At 44.0% G+C, this 21,368-nt stretch overlaps 1 long non-coding RNA gene across 2 annotated transcripts; it reads left to right on the top strand.

The window, feature by feature from the left end:
* On the top strand, positions 27-19,376 carry FCHO2-DT (FCHO2 divergent transcript). 2 transcript variants are annotated; one of them, NR_186391.1, is made up of 3 exons: positions 27-897; positions 14,861-15,309; positions 17,924-19,376. It is a non-coding gene; the product is annotated as an FCHO2 divergent transcript (long non-coding RNA). The 2 variants fall into 2 exon arrangements; NR_186392.1 differs by having other exon boundaries at positions 14,861-19,376.
* The last annotated feature ends 1,992 nt before the right edge of the window (positions 19,377-21,368 follow it).

The following is a 21,368-nucleotide window of genomic DNA, read 5'->3' as shown; positions in this document are numbered from 1 at the left end:
ACGGTGTGCGCATGCGCCCTGTCCCCATTCTCGGGTGTTGGTAGATCTCTCTGCATCCCGGGCGCGGCTGGGTTGAGTGTTCTCTTAGGAATGGTGGAGAACTGGGTCCTTGAGGAGTCACCGGGGAGACTGCTCGCACTGTTTGTGGTGCGACGGGCACTGGCCCAGGGACAGAGGGAAGAGAAGGGCCAGCCAGCGGCAGTGGAGTCGGCAGGCTGGCTGCCCACTCGCTTTCTCTCCTCACAAGACTCGCTTCCCCGGCCTTCGAGGATCTCGAACGGACTATAGTCTGGACTCGCTGGGCTGGAGGAAACTTGGCCGCTGGCCACCCGGAGGAGACTGAGAAGCCTTTGGTCAACAGGGCGCCTTTCCTTGAACCAAAACAAAACTTTCCGAAGCCGGAAAGGAAACGCCCAGTGTCGCCTGAGAGCCCTGGAGCTGCGCGAGACCCAGGCACTGAGTGCGGCCTCGGCCTCTGACCTCTAACACGCCGGGAACAAACCAGCTGGGGCGGCCCGCAGGCCTGCGGGAGCGGAATGTGACCCGAAACCGACGGACTTCCTGACCCATAGTCCATAGTTCTCTTCAGCAACTTGAACATTTTGGAAAAAGAAACAAGTCTTAACATGCCACGACCTAATGGAAAAACTAAATCCCCTTCCTACACCTTGCTTTCCAAAAGTTAAAAAAAAATAGTTAAACGCTATTAGAGGTCTCAAGTTCACTGTCACCAGATCAGCTAGGTCCAGAATCTTCAGTTCTTGAAGCCAAGCCCTACAAATAGATTTATTGTAGCATATCACACCTCTTCAGGTGACTTAAAACAATGAGAATTCATGAGAAATTATCTTCATCCTCAAGTAAAAATCATGAGGTGCCTTTCACATGGATGAAATTGTAAGTGCTTGTTGAACAAGGAATAATTGGATAATGGTATTGTGGTCATACTTTTTAAGAATATCTGTTAGAAAGATATAGGATGCAGAACATCTAGGATTTGCTGAAAGTCATTTATTATGGATAGGGGTATGAGTAAGGTCATAGATGAAAAGGGATGAAACAAGATTGGCCATAGTTGCTCTATTTTTGTGTATCTTGTTTCTTTATTTTGTTTCTTTAAAAAGTCCTCATATCACTGACATTTACACTTAGTTTTAGGGAAAGTCAAATTTAGAAATAAGCTACAGCTCTCTAAGCTATCGGTCTAACTGGATTTTTCTCGATGCTGAAGAACTTTTTAAAAAATTCAGCCATCTAGGTCACACAGCAAATACATTTGGCATTAAATTCCTAGTATCACTAAAGTACTCCCTCCCACCGCCGCGCCCCCCCCCTTCCCCCCGCACCCTTAGACCTGGGCAAGAGAGACTTCTATCCTGGACTCCATGCTTTAAAGGAACTTACATATCACACACACACATTAATTTAAAAAAAAATAGGTGCCCCTGCCGCTTGTGATCTGATACTGAACACTGGCTCATAACCATAAATTCCCTCTCCCAGTGAAGAACACTATTCAGGCCCCAGGAAAACTCTTCTTCCTATCTTTTGTCTTCTGTCCTCAAAACAAACGGTGAACTCCAAAAGCAGTGAAAATTTGTACATAGCATGGCTGCCCATTTCAGAGACTGCTTTGGAGTCAGAATTTGAGCAGCAGAAATGCTTAGGTAAGAGAGAAGACAAATTAACTTGTCAAATCCTTCATCTCAGCTTGAATGCTATAGATTCCTGCATGACAAAGTATTGTTTCTCAGTAGTATCAAGCATACATTTTCCTTTTGTTAGTGTTCCAATGTGTGGCTATTACCTACAGACAATTTAGTATAGTATTCACAATAGTTACTGGCCTTCATTCGCATTCTTCTGCTCCCCTTAAATTTAGGAGTAGATCTGGAATGAAAATAAGTATTCTGAGTATTTCAGGTATTTGCAAGGTTCATTAGGGCCGAAACACCATATCCTGTAATTGCCTGATGTTTAAGTTGTGGAACTTTATAGTAAACAGTGATTAAGGTGACTAAATTTCAGACAAGACTGTGTAGTATAGGAAGAGCGTGGATGGTATCAGCCTCCTTCTGCACTCTCAAGTGAGGTTTCCAGGGATGAACATACATTCTGGCAGAGCATAGATAAGCTCCTGAGTGGGTAGTGCTGGGTGGGGTTACAGGCATGAGCCACCGAGCTTATATGCGTTAAAGTGTTTGTGCCACACTCTCTTAGACTTTGCTTATCAAAATGTATTTCATTTTGAAATTATTAAAAACCAACATAGATAACAACAGTGTACAAGTCACTGCCTATAATACCTGTCACTTAAGAGTCAGTAAATGTTCAGTGAATGAATGAATGATGACATCTATCATAGAAATGTCAAGGTAGATGAGACCTTGAATATGTAATAATTCCATTATCTTTTACACATTCTCTTTTTTTTTTTTTTTTTTGAGACAGAGTCTCGCTTGGTTGCCCAGACTGGAGTGCAGTGGTGCGATCTCAGCTCACTGCAACCTCCACCTCCCAGGTTCAAGCGATTCTCATGCCTCAGCCTCTCAAGCAGCTGGGACTACACATGCCCACCACCACGCCTGACTAATTTGTGTATTTTTAGTAGACACGGGGTTTCACCACGTTGGCCAGGCTGGTCTCGAACTCCTGACCTCAAGTGATCCGCCTGTGTGGGCCTCCCAAAGTGCTGGGGTTACAGGCATAAGCCACCGCGCCCAGCCTACTCATCCTCTTTAATTGGTGCTTGATCCTAGAGTTTGTAGAAAATATCATTATTTAAGTTTTTTATTTAATTTTCTCATGTTACTTTAAATATATTCAAAAGAATTCTTGTGGGCTTGAGTGTACTTCTTAAAGGATAGAGTACTTTTTTTTTTTTTTTTTTTTGAGACAGAGTCTTGCTCTGTCACCCAGGCTGGAGTGCAGTGGTGCAATCTTGACTCACTGCAACCTCCGCCTCCCAGGTTCAAGTGATTCTCCTGCGTCAGCCTCCAGAGTAACTGGAACTACAGGCATGCGCCACCACACCTGGCTAAGTTTTGTATTTTCAGTAGAGACGGGATTTCACCATGTTGGCTAGGCTGGTCTTGAACTCCTGACCTCAGGTGATCCACCCACCTCGGTCTCCCAAAGTGCTGGGATTACAGGCATGAGCCACCACACCTGGCCTTAGTGTACTTTGTGAAATAAAAATAAAATAAAATTTAAATAACATCCAAGATTTACTGTAGCAAGAGATTGCCTGTTGGAAAGGAGCCCCTACTCAATTTGGACTTTGATTTTTGGGTGTCACCGCTACCAGAATCATCTTTCTCTTAGGATCTCTCTCGATACCTGCTGAAGAGATATAGGCTTCCAGGGATGCTGTTGATCCCCATTAAACTCTGGCCTAAGCATATATGTTATAGCCCAAAGCTATAGACTTTTAAAACATAACTTGATAAATGATACCAAATAAGAGACACACAAAATAACCTAAGTCTAAATTATCTGGTTTACAAAATATGGTTTATTTCCAAGATTTGAGGGTTCAGTCTCTTAGGCAAGGCACCCAGAGCACTTCCCCCTTTCCATTCCTTAGTTTGATTTCCTCCCATTTCTCATCCTGGGTTCACAGCTCACAGCACATGAATCAACATTTAGTCATAAGGGCCATTTCCTCATAACTTCATTTGAAACTAGGTCCATGTCAGAAGGGTTGACTATAAAGAAAAATGCATTTTCTCATTTTTTTCAATATAATTTTGCAAATGTACTTCCACTTGTTTCCAAGATGGGAGTGGCAGAAGAGAAGATCCTATAAACCTCTTCTGTTTCCTGCCAATTTCTTCAAGGCGTGGCATCCATCCCCGGTCAGGTGCAGTATTCTTTCTCTGAACTCATGTTGTACTTGACAATAACAAGTGGCAAAAGAGCTAAGCTCTATTAAAAGGCAGAAAAGAAACAGGCAGATCCCTGAAGTCTGGTACGCTCTTGTTTTTCTGTACTCAGTAGCAGCATATTAAAAGCAAAAGCCTTATGCAAAACAGAAAGGAAAGCAAAAGCTTGGCAGATGGCAGCCAGGCAGGCTGCTATGTGAGGGCCGAGAGGTAGAAGCATGTTGATCGAACTGCAGAATAGAGCTCAACATCACCCTGCACGCTACTCATTTCAGAGCGGCTTACCAGGTGGATGTGCCTTTCTTCTCTCCTAAGTGCACCTGGGATTGACTCCCTGCCTGCTCCTCATGTGGTGCCATCTCTTCCTCCAGAATGAGATGTACTTTCCCGGGTGCTCCTTCATTTTGTCATTTGTGGAAGAAGCACAAACACCTGACCAGTTGTTCCAGGGTCTGCATTGCTAGTGACCACAGGGAACCCAACAATGCTTCAAAAATAAGAGAAATTACTAAATTACAGAAAGCCATGAAGATAATGATAATGTAGAAACACTCAGGGCTGGGCACAGTGGCTCACGCCTGTGATTCCAGCACTTTGGGAGGTCAGGGCAGGTGGATCACCTGAGGTCAGGAGTTTGAGACCAGCCTGGCTAACATGGCAAAACCCCATCTCTACTACAAATACAAAAGATTAGCCAGGCGTGGTGGCAGGCGCCTGTAATCCCAGCTACTTGGGAGGCTGAGGCAGGAGAATTGCTTGAACCCGGGAGGTGGAGGTTGCAGTGAGATGAGATCGTGCCATTGCACTCCAGCCTGGGCAAGAGAGCGAGACACTGTCTCAAAACAAACAAACAAACAAAAACCAAAATCAAAACAAACACTAAAAAATGTTTGTCATTAATGTTAAGTAGAAAGACAGAAGGTGTCAAATTACAAATATGTTGAGTCATACATTTTATTTGTAAAATTACAAATATGGGCCAGGTGTGGTGGCTCACGTCTGTAATCCCAGCACTTTGGGAGACCGAGGTGGGCGGATCACAGGGTCAGGAGTTTGAGACCAGCCTGACCAACATGGTGTAACCCCATCTCTACTAAAAATACAAAAATTAGCTGGGCGTGGTGGTGCCTGCGTGTAATCCCAGCTACTCAGGAGGCTGAGGCAAGAGAATTGCTTGAACCTGGGAGGAGGAGATTGCAATGAGCCGACATCATGCCACTGCACTCCAGCCTGGGCAATGGAGCAAGACTTCATCTCAAAAAAAAAAAAAAGAAAGAAAAATTACAAATATGTAAAAAAAAAAAAAAAAAGTATGTTAAATAGACAAATGTAAAACATGGAAGACATTTAAAATTTAATATAATAACATTGTACAATTTAAAGAACAATCGTTCTATGTTTTTGTCTGAATATAAATGTAACTGGGCCTAATCTTCTTTAATGTCTTTCATTAACTCTCTCCTCTGTTTCATTCATTCAGGCAGTAGACATTTACTATGCACTTGTTACAATGAAAAGATTGTCTCTGCTTGCTTTTTTTTTTTGAGACAGGGTCTTGCTGTGTTGTCCAGGCTGGAGTACAGTGGCGCAATCGTAAGTCACTGCAACTTCAACCTCCTGGTCTCAAGCAAGCCTTCCTACTTATGCTTCCCTAATAGCTGGGACCACAGGCGCACACCACCATGCCCACCTAATTTTTTATTTTTTGTAGAGATGGCATCCCCCTATGTTGTCAGGCTGGTCTTGAACTCCTGGGCTCAAGTAATCCTCTCGTCTTGGCCTCCTAAAATGCTGGAATTACAGGTGTGAGCCACCATGCCTGGCCATCTCTGCCTTTGAGAAATTCACAGTCTAATATAGACGTATGATGAAGATGATAGAGATCATGGCAATTATAGCAATAATGTGCATAGAAGAGTGCCTGACGCATAGTTGGCAAGCAATACACATTTGTTAAATGCATTAATTAATGAATCACTGTTCCAAAACGTAACCACAAAGAAATGTAATTTGTATTTTTATTGTATTTTCCTTCTTTCTTTCCTTCTCTCCTTTTCCCTTCAACTCCCTCCTTTCTTTCTGCAAGGAAAGTGACAGGAAACTGCCTTGGATTCACCCAGGGTATCCTCCATTAGCACACTGATTTGGGGGTCCATGGAATAGTAGAGTCCAGAGCAACTTCTGAAACTCAGTCCTGGAGCCAGCTAGCTCCCTAGGAGATGGATGCTTATGAAGAACAGGGCACTAGAAATTGTAATAATAGGAGCCCAAGCAAGAAGCACCCTTGGCTTAGCTAAGAATGGAGGAAGTGGACTTGAAGAGCTACTCCCCTGAAGAGCCACTGAATATGAGTCACCAATGGACCAGCACTTTCTGTACACCTTGTAGCACCAGATTTCAACAGAACACAGTGTACCAGTGGTCCTATTCACTGTTTATCTAACAAACATTTATTGAACACCTGTATTGAGCTAGGCCCTCTTCTAGACACTGGTGATACAATGGTGAATGAGACAAATAATTGTGCTGCTTTCATGGCACTTAAGTGTACAGAGACAGACCAAAAGGATTTAAATAAATGATATCTTTTGGGATAGTGATACATGCCTTGCAGTATAATTGACATAGGTTGTAGTAGGGAGAGGGGGCTTCTTCTTTACCTAGAATGGTCAAAAAGGCCTCCCTGAGGACATGACATTTGAGCAGAGACCTGAATGAGCTAAAGGAAGTAGCCATGCAAAGATCTGCAGAGTAGTCCACATTAAAGCAACAACAATAAGGTCCAGAAGTAGCAGTGAGCTTGATTTGTTCAAGTAAATGAAAAGGGGGCCAGTTTGGCTGGAGTGCAGTGATCAAACGGAAGAAGAACAGAAATGAAATCAGACAGGAAAGCAGAGTCAAGTCAGAGAGAGGCTAGTTTGTAATCTAAGCACCATAGGAAGCCAATGGAGGATTTGAAAGCAGCAGAATGATATCTGATTTATGTTTTAAGGAAGATCACATTCAGGCCGGGCACGGTGGCTCACACCTGTAATCCCAGCACATTGGGAGGCCGAGGCTGGCGGATCACTTGAGACCAGGAGCTTGAGACCAGCCTGGGCAACATGATGAAACCCCGTCTCTACTGAAAATACAAAACTTAGCAAGGCGTGGTGGCACACACCTGTAATCCCAGCTACTCAGGAGGCTGAGGCAGGAGAATTGCTTGAATCCAGGAGGCAGAGGTTGTGGTGAGCCGAGATCGTGCCACTGCACTCCAGCCTGGGCAACAGAGCAAGACTCCATCTCAAAAAAAAAAAAAATCACATTGACTGCTCTCTGAAAGGAAGGGTAGTGGAAAAAATATTTGAGAGGCCACTCCAAAGATGGATATAATAGACCTGGCAAGGGAAGGTGATGGCAGGGACTGGGTGACAACTGTGGAAATGTAAGAAGTTATCAGGCTCAAGCTCTACTTGGAAGGTAAAGCTGACAGAGCTTGCTAATGGATTGGATTTAGGGCGGGAAGGAAAGAAATCAAAGATGATCCTAGAAGTTGTGCCTGAACAACTAGGTGTATAGTGAATGGTGCCACAACGATAGAAAAATGTAGAGAAGAGCTGGTTTGGAGAAAGAGAGAACTCAGTGGTTTTATTTATTTATTTATTTTTGAGACAGAGTCTCACTCTGTCGCCCAGGCTGGAGTGCAGTGGTGTGATCTCAGCTCACTGCAACCTCTGCTTCCTAGATTCAAGTGATTCTCCTGCCTCAGCCTCCCAGGTAGCTGGGATTACAGTCATGCGCCACGATGCCCAGCTAATTTTTTTTGTATTTTTAGTAGAGACGGGTTTCGCCATGTTGGCCAGGCTGGTCTCAAACTCCTGACATCAAGTGATCCACCTGCCTCGGGCTCCTAAAGTGCTGGGGTTACAGGTGTGGGCCACCACGTCTGGCCAGAACTCAGTGGTTCTACTTTGGACTTGTTAAATTTGAAGGGCCTAATGGAAATACAAGTAGAAATGTCTATCAGGCAATTGGATATATGATTCTGGAGCCCAGGACAGAGGTTGGATTCAAGACGTAAACTGGAGGGTCATTGGCATGAATAGAGGAGATTTGATGAGATCACATAGAAAGAAAGGGGAGAGAGGAAGGGAGGGAGATAGAGAGCCTGTGGAACTGAGGAAAAAGCCCTGGGGCACTCCTACATTTAGAGGTTAGGAGAAGTGGATAAGCCAGGAAAAGAGATTAATGTAAAGTAGAACACCAAGAAAAAGAGATGACATTCAAGCCAAGAGTAGAGAGTGTTTTAAGAAGTGATTGATGCATGACAAATACTGAGAAATGACCATTGGATTTAGCCAGTTGGAAGTGGCCTTGGCAAGTGTTGATTCTTTGAAGGGGTGGAGACATAAATCTGAATGAAGTGGGTTGAAGAGAGAAGAGGAAGTAAGGACAAAAAGTATAAACAATTCCTTCAAGAAGTTTTGCTATGAAATGAAGCAGCAAAATAGGCAGGTATTGAAGAGAACAAGTGATAAAAGGGAGGGAGTAAGCATTAAGATGAGATGTAATAAAGCAATTTGAGTTCCAGAGAGGATGAACCAAAGAGGGGGGAAAAGAGAGAGAATTATAGAGATGAAGTCCTTGAGTAGAGGAAAGAATATGAGATCCAGAATAAAAGTGGAGTTCTAAGAGGGTGTTTCTGGATTTCTAGTAAGTCTAATAGGTTATTGGTCAATTGGTTGGAAAAAATAAGAACTATAGGTTATTGTAGTTCTGCATATTAAAAGCATCCTTCATGTATTATCTCATTGAATCATCATACTAACCCTGTGAGGTCACAACGATTACCCCAATTTTACAAATGAGAAAATATGATCTAGGAGATTAGATGAGTTGCTCAAGGTCATACAACAAGTAAATGGGAAACTACTGTTAATTTAGGAGTACAAGAGAGGTATGAATAAAGTGTTATGGAGGAAGCGATGCCTCAAGCAACAAAACAGGTCAAAAGACGAGGAATGGTGAAGGGTGAAAGTTAAACTCATCCACCCAGGGATTTATTTTTTATTTTATTTTATTTTATTTTATTTTTGAGACGGAGTCTGGCCCTGGTGCCCCGGCTGGAGTGCAATGGCATGATCTTGGCTCACTGCAACCTCCACCTCCCAGGTTCAAGCAATTCTCCTGCCTCAGCCTCCCGAGTAGCTAGGATTACAGGCACCCGCCACCACGTCCAGCTAATTTTTTGTATCTTTAGTAGAGACAGGGTTTCACCATGTTGGTCAGGCTGGTCTTGAACTCCTGACCTCGTGATCCACCCACCTCAGCCTCCCAAAGTGCTGGGATTACAGGCATGAGCCACCGCACCCGGCCACCCAGGGATTTTATTTACAGGTTTTTGTTTTTAACTGGTGGATCTGGTCTTCCTCAGTTTCCACATTCTTTCCATAAAGAGGTCCCTTTCTTGGTTACCTTCTCCCTAACTAGGTGCTTTAGGTAAATATAAATGCTAACTAGTAAGAATCCTATAAAAATGTCAAGGAGGCCGGGCACGTTGGCTCACGCCTGTAATCCCAGCAGGCTGAGGCGGGCAGATTACCTGAGGTCAGGAGTTTGAGACCAGCCTGACTAACATGGTGAAACCCCATCTCTACTAAAAATACAAAAAATTAGCCAGGCATAGTGGCGGGCACCTGGAATCCCAGCTACTCAGTAGGCTGAGGCAGGAGAATCACTTGAACCCGGGAGGCAGAGGTTGCAGTGAGCCGAGATTGTGCCACTGCACTCCAGCCTGGTGACAAAGAGAGACTCCGTTTCCAAAAAAAAAAAAAAAAATTAAGGAAATATATTTACATCTTACTGTTTAAAAAGTCTCTTCTCTCTTCATTGTTAATCCTGAAACACGCAAGAAATATAACTGTTCAAAATTTCAGATTCTAATCAAAATCTAAGGCTGACCTACCTTAAACAGGACATTTGGTAATTGTATTAAAAACCACTCCCTTTTGTAGACAGAAGGAAACAGAAAACCATATCAGCCTGTAGAAATGGTTGTAATGTTCTTTATAAAAATCCTTAAGGCCACAGAGTTCTCATTAACTATTTGCAGGGAGGAGGCAACTGGGCTGGGTCAAACAGGCTAGATCCAAAGGTAATAAAATCAAATTTTTGTTTCCAGGCCAGGCACAGTGTCTCAGGCCTATAATCCCAGCACTTTGGGAGGCCAAGGCGGGCAGATCATTTGAGGTCAGGAGTTCAAGACCAGCCTGACCAAAATGGTGAAACCCCGTCTCTATTAAAAATACAAAAAAATTAGCCGGACATGGTGGCACATGCCTGTAGTCCCAGCTACTCAGGAGGCTGAGGCAAGAAAATCGCTTGAACCCGGGAGGCGGAGGTTTCAGTGAGCCGAGATCATGCCACTGCACTCCAGTCTGGGCGACAGAGCGAAACTCCATCTCAAAAAAAAAAAAAAATTGTTTCCAGCCTTAAAATCCCACTGGATGTTATCTGCCTTTATACACTTTTCTTTATAGTGTTTCAAGAACAAACTGTCACCAACTAGTTATTTTTTTCATTTAGGTCCAGAAAATGTATGTTATTTTTTCCTTCCTACTTCCCACATGCCAGCTAAAACCACTTATTTCCATTTATTCAAAGCTGTCTTCAAATATATCTCCTCCAAAAAAAGAAAGTTGCAAAACCATTACCTTCTGTATAATCTCATATTTCTTTTTTCCGACATATTTCCTGAGTGATACATCCTTCAAATTGAGTAATTTATATCTTGTCCAAAGAGCTTTGTACTGTTCTTTGTAGATGCTTTCTTGTTTTTTTCTTTTTTTCTCTTTTTTGCAGGTGCATGTGTTTGTGTTGGTGATCATAGTCGGAGGAAGAATTCATCATTCTTTCTTTACTCTTAAAAATACATCATCTCTTACTTTTCAGTTTATACAGGGGCTTCCATATTGGTGGGGGGAGTATGTATAGCTTTACAGATATAGATGTCCATTCATTCATCCATTCAACAAGCACCTATAGTGTTTTGGCACTGTTTTAGGTGTGTGATAGACAGCAGTGAAGAAAAGTTGAATTCTGCTCTCAGAGATCTTAAATCCCAGTAGGGATGATAGGCAAAAATAACACAAACAAGTAGACACATAGTATAATATCTGAAATGTCAGTAGATACATAGCATAGTGGTAAGTGCTATGTTACAAAAATAAAGCAGGGCAAGAGCAGTATAATGTCTTGTTTAAAAATAGCAGATGAGATCAGAAAATCTATGACACAATATGGTGACTATAGTTAAAACCAAGGTATTGTATTCTTAAAATTTGTTGAGAGTAGATTTTAAGTTTTCTTACCACAAAAAAATTATAAGTATGTGAGGTAATGTATTAATTAGCTCGATTTAGCTATTTCACAATGTATACTTATTTCGAAATAACATGTTGCACATGATAAATATATAAGATTTTTATTTGCCAATTTAACAACTACTTTTTAAAAAATATATAGCAGATGAGATGACCATATAGAATATGGCTCTGGAATTAAACTGCCTGGATTTTAATCCTGGCTCTGATACTTATGAGCTTTGTAACCTTAGGGAGGTTATTTAATCATTTGTATGACTCAGTTTGCACGTCTGTAAAGTGGGGATAATATAGTATCTACCTCAAAGAGTTGCTGTAAAGACTAAATGAGTTAAAATATGTAAAACAATGGCAGGGCACCATTGCTTACACCTGTAATCCCAGCACTTTGGGAGGCTGAGGCGGGCAGATCACTTGAGCTCAGGAGTTCCAGACCAGCCTGGGCAACATGGCAAAACCCCATCTCTACTAAAAATACAAAGAAAATTAGCTGGGCATGGTGGTGCACCCCTGTAGTCCCAGCTACTCAGGAGGCTGAGGTGGGAGGATCACCTGAGCCCAGGAGGTAGTGGCTGCAGTGAGCTGTCATTGCACCACTGCACTCCAGAGCCTGGGCGACAGAGTGAAACCCTGTCTCAAAAAATAATTATAATAAGGCCGGGCGCGGTGGCTCATGTCTGTAATCCTAGCACTTTGGGAGGCCGAGGTGGGTGGATCACCTGAGGTCAGGAGTTCAAGACCAGCCTGGCTGACATGCCGAAACCCTGTCTCTACTAAAAATACAAAAATTAGCCAGGTGTGGTGGCGGGCGCCTATAATCCCAGCTACTCAGGAGGCTGAGGCAGGAGAATCCCTTGAACCTAGGGGGGGAGGTTCCAGTGAGCCAACATTGCATCACTTCATTCCAACCTGGGCAAAAATAGTGAAACTCCATCTCAAAAAATAATAATAACAATTATTATTATAAACTATTAATATTAAGAAGAACTGGAAGTGATGGGGGTCCTATTAAAGTTTAATGAAAATCAATCTGAGGAGGTGAATGAAATGAAGGAAACAAATCTTGTGATGTCTACCAGACAAAACCTACCAGGCAGAAGAAAAAGCACACAGAAAAACAGATGAGGTTGGTATGGCTTGAGCAGAATGAGTGGGTAATAGTTGTAGGGAATGTGGTAAAAGAATGGAGTTGGAGTTGGGCCAAATCAGCTAGGGCCTTATAGGTCATAGAAAAACCTCAGGTGGTATTCTAAGAGTGATGGGAAGTCATCAGAGGGCTTTTAGCTGAGCAGTGTCATAACCTAATGTTTAGGATTATCCTGGCTGCTATGTGGAGAATAGGCTAAAAGGGGCAAGACAGCTGGTTGTTAAAAACATGTACCACACTACTGGATTCAAGATATACTAATAAATAGAAAAAGGCAAGGTGTGGGACAAAATGCGTGATATACTGCCATTGGCATTTTAAAAATCTCTATATATGTGTATTTGTAACATATATGTGTATGCATACACATATATACATTTTACACCTATACGTAAACATTACATATATACATATACACAATGTATATTAGATATGTATTTTCTTCATATACATATCCTATCTCTGGAAGGAAGGATATGTAAGAGACTGGTAACAGTGATACTTTGGAGAAGGGAACTAGATTACAGGATTTAAAAGATTATCTTTTGCAATTTTTGAATTTTGTTATTTGAGACAGAGTCTCGCCTGTCGCCAGGCTGGAGTGCAGTGGCGCGATCTCGGCTCACTGCAACCTCTGCCTCCCGGGTTCAAGGATTCTGATGCCTCAGCCTCCCGAGTAGCGGGTCTACAGGTGTGCACCACCATGCCCAGCTAATTTTTGTAATTTTTAGTAGAGACGGAGTTTCACCATGTTGGCCAGGATGGTCTTGACCTCTTGTCCTCGTGATCTGCCTGCTTCAGCCTCCCAAAGTGCTGGGATTACAGGCATGAGCCACCGCGGCTGGCCTTGGATTTTGTTCTATGTGAATGTATTACCTATTTAAAAAAAGATAAATATTGTTGGAAACATGAAAAACAGAAAAATAAAAAAAACAAATAAATATACATTAAAAGGAAAAAAAAATCAGAATCATTTTACCCAAATGTTAAAAGGTGGTAGTGAAATCAAGGTTGAGGGACAGGGCTATAACTAAAGGTACCATGATGGATTGGATATGCTCGATAGGAAAAAACATGAACATCACCCCCAAAGGTCCTAGTATGTGTAAAATAAAGTAAAACATGGCATGGTTTCCTGATGCCTTTTTATTTCAATGATAATTTGACTAGTGTCAATTGGGTGTACAATTATTGTGTCATACTTTATTTCCTTGATTTTTTTTTTTTTTTTTTGAGACAGAGTCTCGCTCTGTCTCCCAGGCTGGAGTACAGCTGTGCAATCTCGTTTCAATGCAACCTCCACCTGCTGGGTTCAAGCAATTCTCATGCCTCAGCCACCTGTGTAGCTGGAATTACAGGTGCGTGCAACCGCGCCCAGCTAATTTTTGTAGTTTTAGTAGAGACGGGGTTTTGCCATGCTGGCCAGGCCAGTCTCGAACTCTGGACCTCAAGTGATCTGCCCGCTTCAGCCTTCCAAAGTGTTGGGATTACAGGCATGAGGCACCATGCCCAGCTTTCAATTCTTTCTAACTTTAAAAAATTTTGGTCATGTGTGATGACTCATTCCTGTATTCTCAACACTTTAAGAGATTGAGGCAGGAGGTTCGTTTGACCCCAGGAGTTGGAGACAAGCCTGGGCAACATAGGGAGACCCCATCTCTATTAAAAAAAAAAAAATTAGCCAGAGGTGGTGGTGTGGACTACCTGTGGTCCCAGCTACTTGGGAGGATGAGGCAGGAGGATCACCTGAGCCTGGGGGGATTAAGGTTACAGTGAGCTATGATGGTGCCACTGCACTCCAGCCTGGGAGACAGGGTGAGACCCTGTTTCAAAAAAATTGTTTCTGTCGGCCGGACGCGGTGGCTCCCGCCTGTAATCCCAGCACTTTGGGAGGCCAAGGCGGGCGGATCACGAGGTCAGGAGATCGAGACCATCCTGGCTAACACGATGAAACCCCGTCTCTACTACAAAAATACAAAAAAAAAATTAGCCTGGCATGGTAGCAGGCGCCTGTAGTCCCAGCTACTCGGGAGGCTGAGGCAGGAGAATGGCGTGAACCCAGGAGGCAGAGCTTGCAGTGAGCCGAGATTGTGCCACTGCACTCCAGCCTGGACAACAGAGCAAGACTCCGTCTCAAAAAAAAAAAAAAAAATTAGCCGGGTGTGTGGCGGGCGCCGGTAGTCCCAGCTACTCGGGAGGCTGAGGCAGGAGAATGTCGTGAACTCGGGAGGCGGAGCTTGCAGTAAGCCAGGAACGCGCCACTGCACCTGGACGACAGAGCAAGACTCCATCTCAAAAACAAAAAAAAAGTTTCTGTCACTTAAAAAATGTTTTTCTTTTTAAAAAAGAAAAATCCTGCCCTCTGTGTACATCACTGTGTTTTCAACAATGTCTGTTTTCCTTTGTGCTGCTTGTACATCATGTTCACTTTCGCTAATTTTAACATTCTTTTCACTTCTCTCTAGGCCCTGCTGTCTCATGTTTCGTCAACAGGAAGAAAAATACGTCTTCAAGTTTGTTTTGTTTGTTTGAGATGGAATCTCGCTATGTCGCCCAGGCTGGAGGTGCAGTGGCGCGATCTCGGCTCACTGCAACCTCCGCCTCCTGGATTCAAGCGATTCTCCTGCCTCAGCCTCCCGAGTAGCTGGGACTACAGACGCCCGCCACCATGCCCGGCTAATTTTTTTGTATTTTTAGTAGAGACGGGGTTTCACTGTGTTAGCCAGGATGGTCTGGATCTCCTGACCTCATGATCCGCCTGCCTTGGTCTTCCAAAGTGCTGGGATTACAGGCATGAGCCACCGCACTCGGCTGTCTTCATGTTTTATCTTATCTTCCCTGACGCCTATATTTCTGATTTGTGTTCTTTTAATTCATGACAATTTGTTTAGTCTCAACTTTTATTTGCTCTATGGTGAGAATGCTTTATCTACTATTTGTTTTGCGGGGGCGGGGGCTGGGTATTCCCATCTTTTCTTTTTTTTACAGTTCCTATGCTAGTTTTTATTTTATTTTAGGTCAACTTTAAATAAGGTGAGTTCTTATCTATTTACTGGAGTTTTGTATGAGAGAGGCCAAGATGGTATTCATGGTCAGCAGAAACTCTCCTCATGAGACAGGGTTATGTGCTACGTGTGTGAATAAACTTTATGTTTTGCTTCTCTGCAGCCTCCTTGAGATCAGCACCAATGGGATGTCACAATGCAGACTCTCTCCCCCACTCTTTCCTCAACTACAGACTACTTCCTGAAAAATATGATTAGTTTATGATATTTCTTGCTCAAATCCGCTTCCTCAGCTTTTTCTCAGTACCAAACTGTCCAGAAAAGTTCCCACCACCGGAACCTCATTCCATTGTTGCAAACAAAGAGATTATTGATTTTTCATCTTAGGCTATGCACTTCACGTTAGAGTCATGGATTCTGCTGGCTCTGTACATTTCTGTTTGATCTTCACTGCTTTTGGCAGACTTTTTTTCTGTTTTAGTTTCAAATATCTTCTAGTTGCATCAGATATAGAGTTGACATTACCGTTTCTTATTCTTCTTATTACTTTTGGGTGGCTAGGCAGTAAAGACCTATGTTCTTTGCCATATTAATACCTAGATAAGATCAGAAGATGATTTTGCATTAATTCTGCCTGGCATTTAGTAGACTCTTCCAATCCAAGTCTGGGAAATGTTCTTTTTTTATTTCTTTGATAATTGTCTCCCTTTTATTCTTACAGTCCTATAGCTGTATAATTTTAGTTATATTTATCTTCTGTATCTCTTAATATTGCTGTACTTTTTCTTTTTCTTTTTTTCTTTGAGACAGAGTCTTGCTCTGTTGCCCAGGCTGGAGTGCAGTGGCACAATCTCGGCTCACTGCCCAGCTCTGCCTCCCGGGTTCACACCATTCTTCCCCCTCAGCCTCTGAGTATCTGGGACTGCAGACGCCCGCCACCATGCCCAGATAATTTTTTTATATTTTTAGTAGAGACGGGGTTTCACCATGTTAGCCAGGATGGTCTCGATCTCCTGACCTCATGATCCGCCCGTCTCTGCCTCCCAAAGTGCTGGGATTACAGGCATGAGCCACCACGCCTGGCCTATTGCTGTACTTTTTCTTTTGTTCTTTTTTTTTCTTTTTTGCATAAATTTTGGAAAAGTCTCTCAGCTCAATTTTCCAACTCATTAATTGTATATTCAGGTTAGGGTAAGGGTTATTGTATATTTAGCCCAATTATTGGATTTAGTCATTTTTTTTTTTCTTTGAGAAGGATTCTCACTCCATCACCCAGACTGGAGTGCAGTGGCGCAATATCGGCTCACTGCAATCTCTGCCTCCTGGGTTCAAGCAATTCTCTTGCCTCAGCCTCCTGAGTAGCTGGGATTACAGGCACCTGCCACCACGCCTAAGTTTTGTATTTTTAGTAGAGACGGGGTTTCACCATGTTGGCCAGGCTAGTCTTGAACTCCTGACCTCAGATGATCCACCCGCCTCAGCCTCCAAAAGTGCTGGGATTACAGGCATGAGCCACCATGCCTGGCCGCAATAATATTTTAAAATTTCCATGAATTCTGGTTGTGTTTCATAGCAGCTGTCTCTTGTTTCAATGTGATTTACTTTAAAGCAACTCTGAGGATCTGAACTATGTTTAATTTCAAGTTTTTATCTGTTTCTATTGACTATTCTTTTTAAGTGGGCTAGTTCTATTTGTTAAATTTGGTGCTCTCTTTAGTGCTCTTGGTTTCTCCAAATGTTTGTTGGTTCTTTTGTTGTTGTTGTTCCATTTGTAGGAACAGAATTTCAGTCTAGACTGAAATTCATAGCTGGACGCATTTCCTCACTTCAAATGAGAACTCATGTTTACCTGGCAGTGAATGCAAGTTTTGATTACAAGAATCTGCCTCATGGGATTTGGTAGGGATAGGCAGACTCTGTAGGTAACGTCTCTTCTTAGAATAGTTTCCTGACCCTCCAGGGTATTGTCCTTTTCCTCTGACCTTAGCTTACTCTGGAACAGTAATATGTTGGTAAATGTTTGACAGCCAGCTCTGGGTGGAGTGGGGGAAGTCCTAGTTTGCAGCATTTCCTGATTTCCATGCAATGTAAAATCTCCCACCCTAGCCAATTTTCAAGCTAGCAACATAACAGTCACTGAATGGGGAGTTGAGAAGAGATGTGCAAACTAGATTCTTAAGAGACTGACTTCATTTAGCATACCATTGCTGTGGGGCTGCTGTACTATGTCAGAAAACTATACCCATGACTCTCATCTAAGCCCAAACAATGGAGCCAGCTGCTCCAAGAGCAACTCCAGGAATTGATGGGGACTTAGGGGTATGGCTCCGTTATTTCTTCAGTTAACAAAGTACTTTGTTCCTTTGAATGGTTTTAGGTTCTTATGCCCTGCTAGATTTCTCTACTGATTCCCACGTTTCTTATTTTTTTCAAAAATTCCTTTCTATATTGTTTGCTGGAAGCACCTTTTCTGGTTTTCCTGTGCTGCTTTGAATTTATTTTTCTATTTCTTTGTGATTTCAGTGGAATTTGGAGAAGGAATGGCAAAGCGGAAGTCCTTCTCCTATTTGATGTCTTAACTTGTTTTTACTGGAAGTCACTTCCTCTTTTGTCTCAGAGGCTGATTCGCCTCCCATAACCAGTGATTTTCCTGTAAGCTCATTATCCTGGATGATGGCTTGACTAACCAAGGCTACTGGCTGCTGAGGGGTTTCTGAGGAAACTTTGGTAGCCTGATTGAGGCCATCTGCCTCTCCACCTGCACTGTAGTTGTGGAGTACACCACTCTGTTCATGGAGGCCATGCACACTGGCCAGAGAAGAGCAGCCCATGTGCAAAAGGATCCAAGTAAGCATTTTCCATTCTCACAGGTCAAATAAGAGGACTTCCCACATTTATTCAGAAGGTAGTTGAAAGTGGTCAGCCCCAGATCTCCCCTATGTGACTCTTTGGTTGATGCTACTTGTACCTCAACACTTGGAAGGCCCGTTCTGGACAGGAGCAACTTTCACTTTACTCTGGAAACGTGGGCAGGTGGGCACAGAATAGAGTGAATCTGAGGCAGAAACTCCTTCAGGCTAACTTTGTGACGGACACTGTTCTAAGTCTTCAGGTGAGTTAACTCATTTAGTCTTCAAGACAATCCTCTGAAGTAGGTATTTTTATCATCCTCAGTTTACAGACACAGAAACTGAGACACAGAAAGGCCATTCAGCCACTCAGTGGTTGAGGCAGGACTGACACTCAAGAAGTCTTGTGACAGTTGTAATGAGTTAGTCGTGATGGTGGCTACCAGGTAGGTGTGTGGATAGATATGTAGTGGCCTCTCCTCCGATGGAAAACTCCCAAAGCACTGAAACAGTCTGGTAGCTGTAGTTGCCGAGGTGTGTAGGGGCATCGGTGAGCTCAGCAGACTGTGTTCCAAGTCACATTAAAGAGGCAGATTTATTGCAAGCCTATCTCCTAGAGACAGAATGTATTTTCCAAAAATGGGCAACACACTGTGTCCCATCTCACATGCTGTTCTTATAATATAACTTTGATACTACATTCTTATTTAGAAATGGAAGCCCATGTTTCCTCCCTTTGATGCTGGGCAGAATTGTGACTACAATGAAAATAATGCTATATGGCTTTTGAGGCTAGGTCCTAAAAGGTAATGCAATATACGTACAGTTCTCTTGGAATATTTAATATTGAAATCCGACCACCACGCTGTAAAGAAGACTGCAGCCCATGGAGAAGTCCACACAGCCAGAAACTGAGGCCCAAGGCTCACATCCCCAGCTGAGCTCCTGGCCTACAGCCAGCCCCAAGGTGCCGTCATGTGAATGAGACATTTTGAAAGTGGATCCCCCAGGCCCAGGCAAGCCATTCCTGACAATAAAATGTGGAACAGAGATGTGATTCCTTTTTAAGACCTCCCCAAATAACAGATTCCTAAGCAAAAATAAAGGACTGTTGTTGTTTTAAGCCACTAGGTTTTGGAGTGGTTTGTTATGTGCCATAGATACATTCCTGCATATTACCTGCTTGTCTCCAAAAAATTCAAAACTCAGTCTAATAGGTGGGACTTCCCCTGAGGGCTCTGGCAATTATCAAACTTTCCCCATAACTTTCACCAAATTATTGAGCTGCTCCAGGAGAGGAAGAATATAAAGAGTATATTTACAATTTTGTCTGGAATTGGTGGGTTCTTGGTCTCGCTGACTTCAAGAATGAAGCCACAAACCCTTGTGGTGAGTGTTACAGTTCTTAAAGATGGTGTGTCTGCAGTTTATTCCTTCAGATGTTCAGATGTGTCTGGAGTTTCTTCCTTCTCGTGGATTCATGGTCTCGCTGACTTCAGGAGTGAAGCTGCAGACCTTCGCGGTGAGTGTCACAGCTCTTAAAGGCGGCGCATCTGGAGTTGTTCATTCTTTCCCATGGGTTCGTGGTCTTGCTGGCCTCAGGAGTGAAGCTGCAGACCTTCACGGTGAATGTTATAGCTCTTAAAGGTGGTGCGGACCCAAAGAGTGAGCAGCAGCAAAATTTATTGTGAAGAGCGAAAGAACAAAGTTTCCACAGCATGGAAGGGGACCCAAGCATGTTGACACTGTTGGCTCAGACAGCCTGCTTCTATTCCCTAATCTGGCCCCACCCACATCCTGATGATTGGTCCATTTTACAGAGAGCTGATCGGTCCATTTTGACAGAGTGCTGATTGGTGCATTTACAATCCCTGAGCTAGACACAGAGTACTGATTGGTGCATATACAATCCTCCAGCTAGACATGAAAGTTCTCTAAGTCCCCACCCAACTCAGGAGCCCAGCTGGCTTCGCCTAGTGGATCCCACGCTGGGGCCATGGGTGGAGCTGCTCATCAGTCCCACACCACGTGCCTGCACTCCTCAGCCCTTGGGCGGTCGATGGGACTGGGCACCGTGGAGCAGGGGCAGGGGGTGGTGCCCGTCGGGGAGGCTCTGGCTGCACGGGAGCCCACTGGTGTTGAGGGAGCTCAGGCATGGTGGGCTGCAGGTCCTGAGCACTGCCCCGCAGGGAGGCGGCTGAGGCCCTGTGAGAATTTGAGTGCAGCGCGGGCAGGCCAGCAGTGCTGGGGGACCCAGTGCACCCTCCACAGCTGCTGGCCCGGGTGCTAAGCCCCTCACTGCCCGGGGCCGGCAGCGCCAGCCAGCCACTCTGAGTGCAGGGCCCGCTGAGCCCACGCCCACCCGGAACTCACGCTGGCCCGCGAGCACCGTGTGCAGCCCCGGTTCCCGCCCCCGCCTCTCCCTCCACACCTCCCCGCAAGCAGAGGGAGCCAGCTCCAGCCTCGGCCAGCCCAGAGAGGGGCTCCCACAGTGCAGCAGTGGGTTGAAGGGCTCCTCAAGTGCAGCCAGAGTGGACACCGAGGCCGAGGAGGCCTCTCAATCCCCCCTCTAAACAGGACACCCCAACTGCTGTTGGGAATTTGGCCAATGACCGCTCTAGCTACTTCCTGCTGGATAGGGATGATGAAGGGGTCCTGCAGTTGTAGTGTCCTCCAGAGGGGAACTCTCTAGGCCAGTGAAAGTGCCAGCAGGTTGGTTCAGGGATCCTCGGTAGAAGTTGTTAGTTGAACTCATTTGGGGTTCCATTTGTAAGACCATCTGTAGCTTGATGGCCTCGATTCTAGAGGAAACAAATTTAACAAGGATGTTAAAAATACAGGGTCCATAGGCAAGTAACAGCAAGATGGCTGCCACGGGATCTAGAAAGGGGAGAAGCCATGTTGCCCAACTCCAGAGGTTGGTATAAGAATTTGACAGGCGTTGCCTGATTTCAGGAGCCTTTTCCTGTAAACGCCAGGTGGCATCTTGTACTATCCCTGACTGGTTAGTGTAAAAACAACACTCTTCCCCTAAGAAGGTACAGAGTCCTCCTTTCTCAGCAGTGAGGAGGTCTATGCCTCAGTGGTTTTGGAGAGTCACTGCTGCCAAAGAGTCTATT

The sequence above is a fragment of the Homo sapiens genome, chromosome 5, assembly GCF_000001405.40.
Source record: "Homo sapiens chromosome 5, GRCh38.p14 Primary Assembly".
NCBI classification, from domain to species: domain Eukaryota; kingdom Metazoa; phylum Chordata; class Mammalia; order Primates; family Hominidae; genus Homo; species Homo sapiens.
The sequence above is the reverse complement of the archived record's forward strand: the minus strand, read 5'-3'. Positions and strand labels throughout refer to the sequence as shown.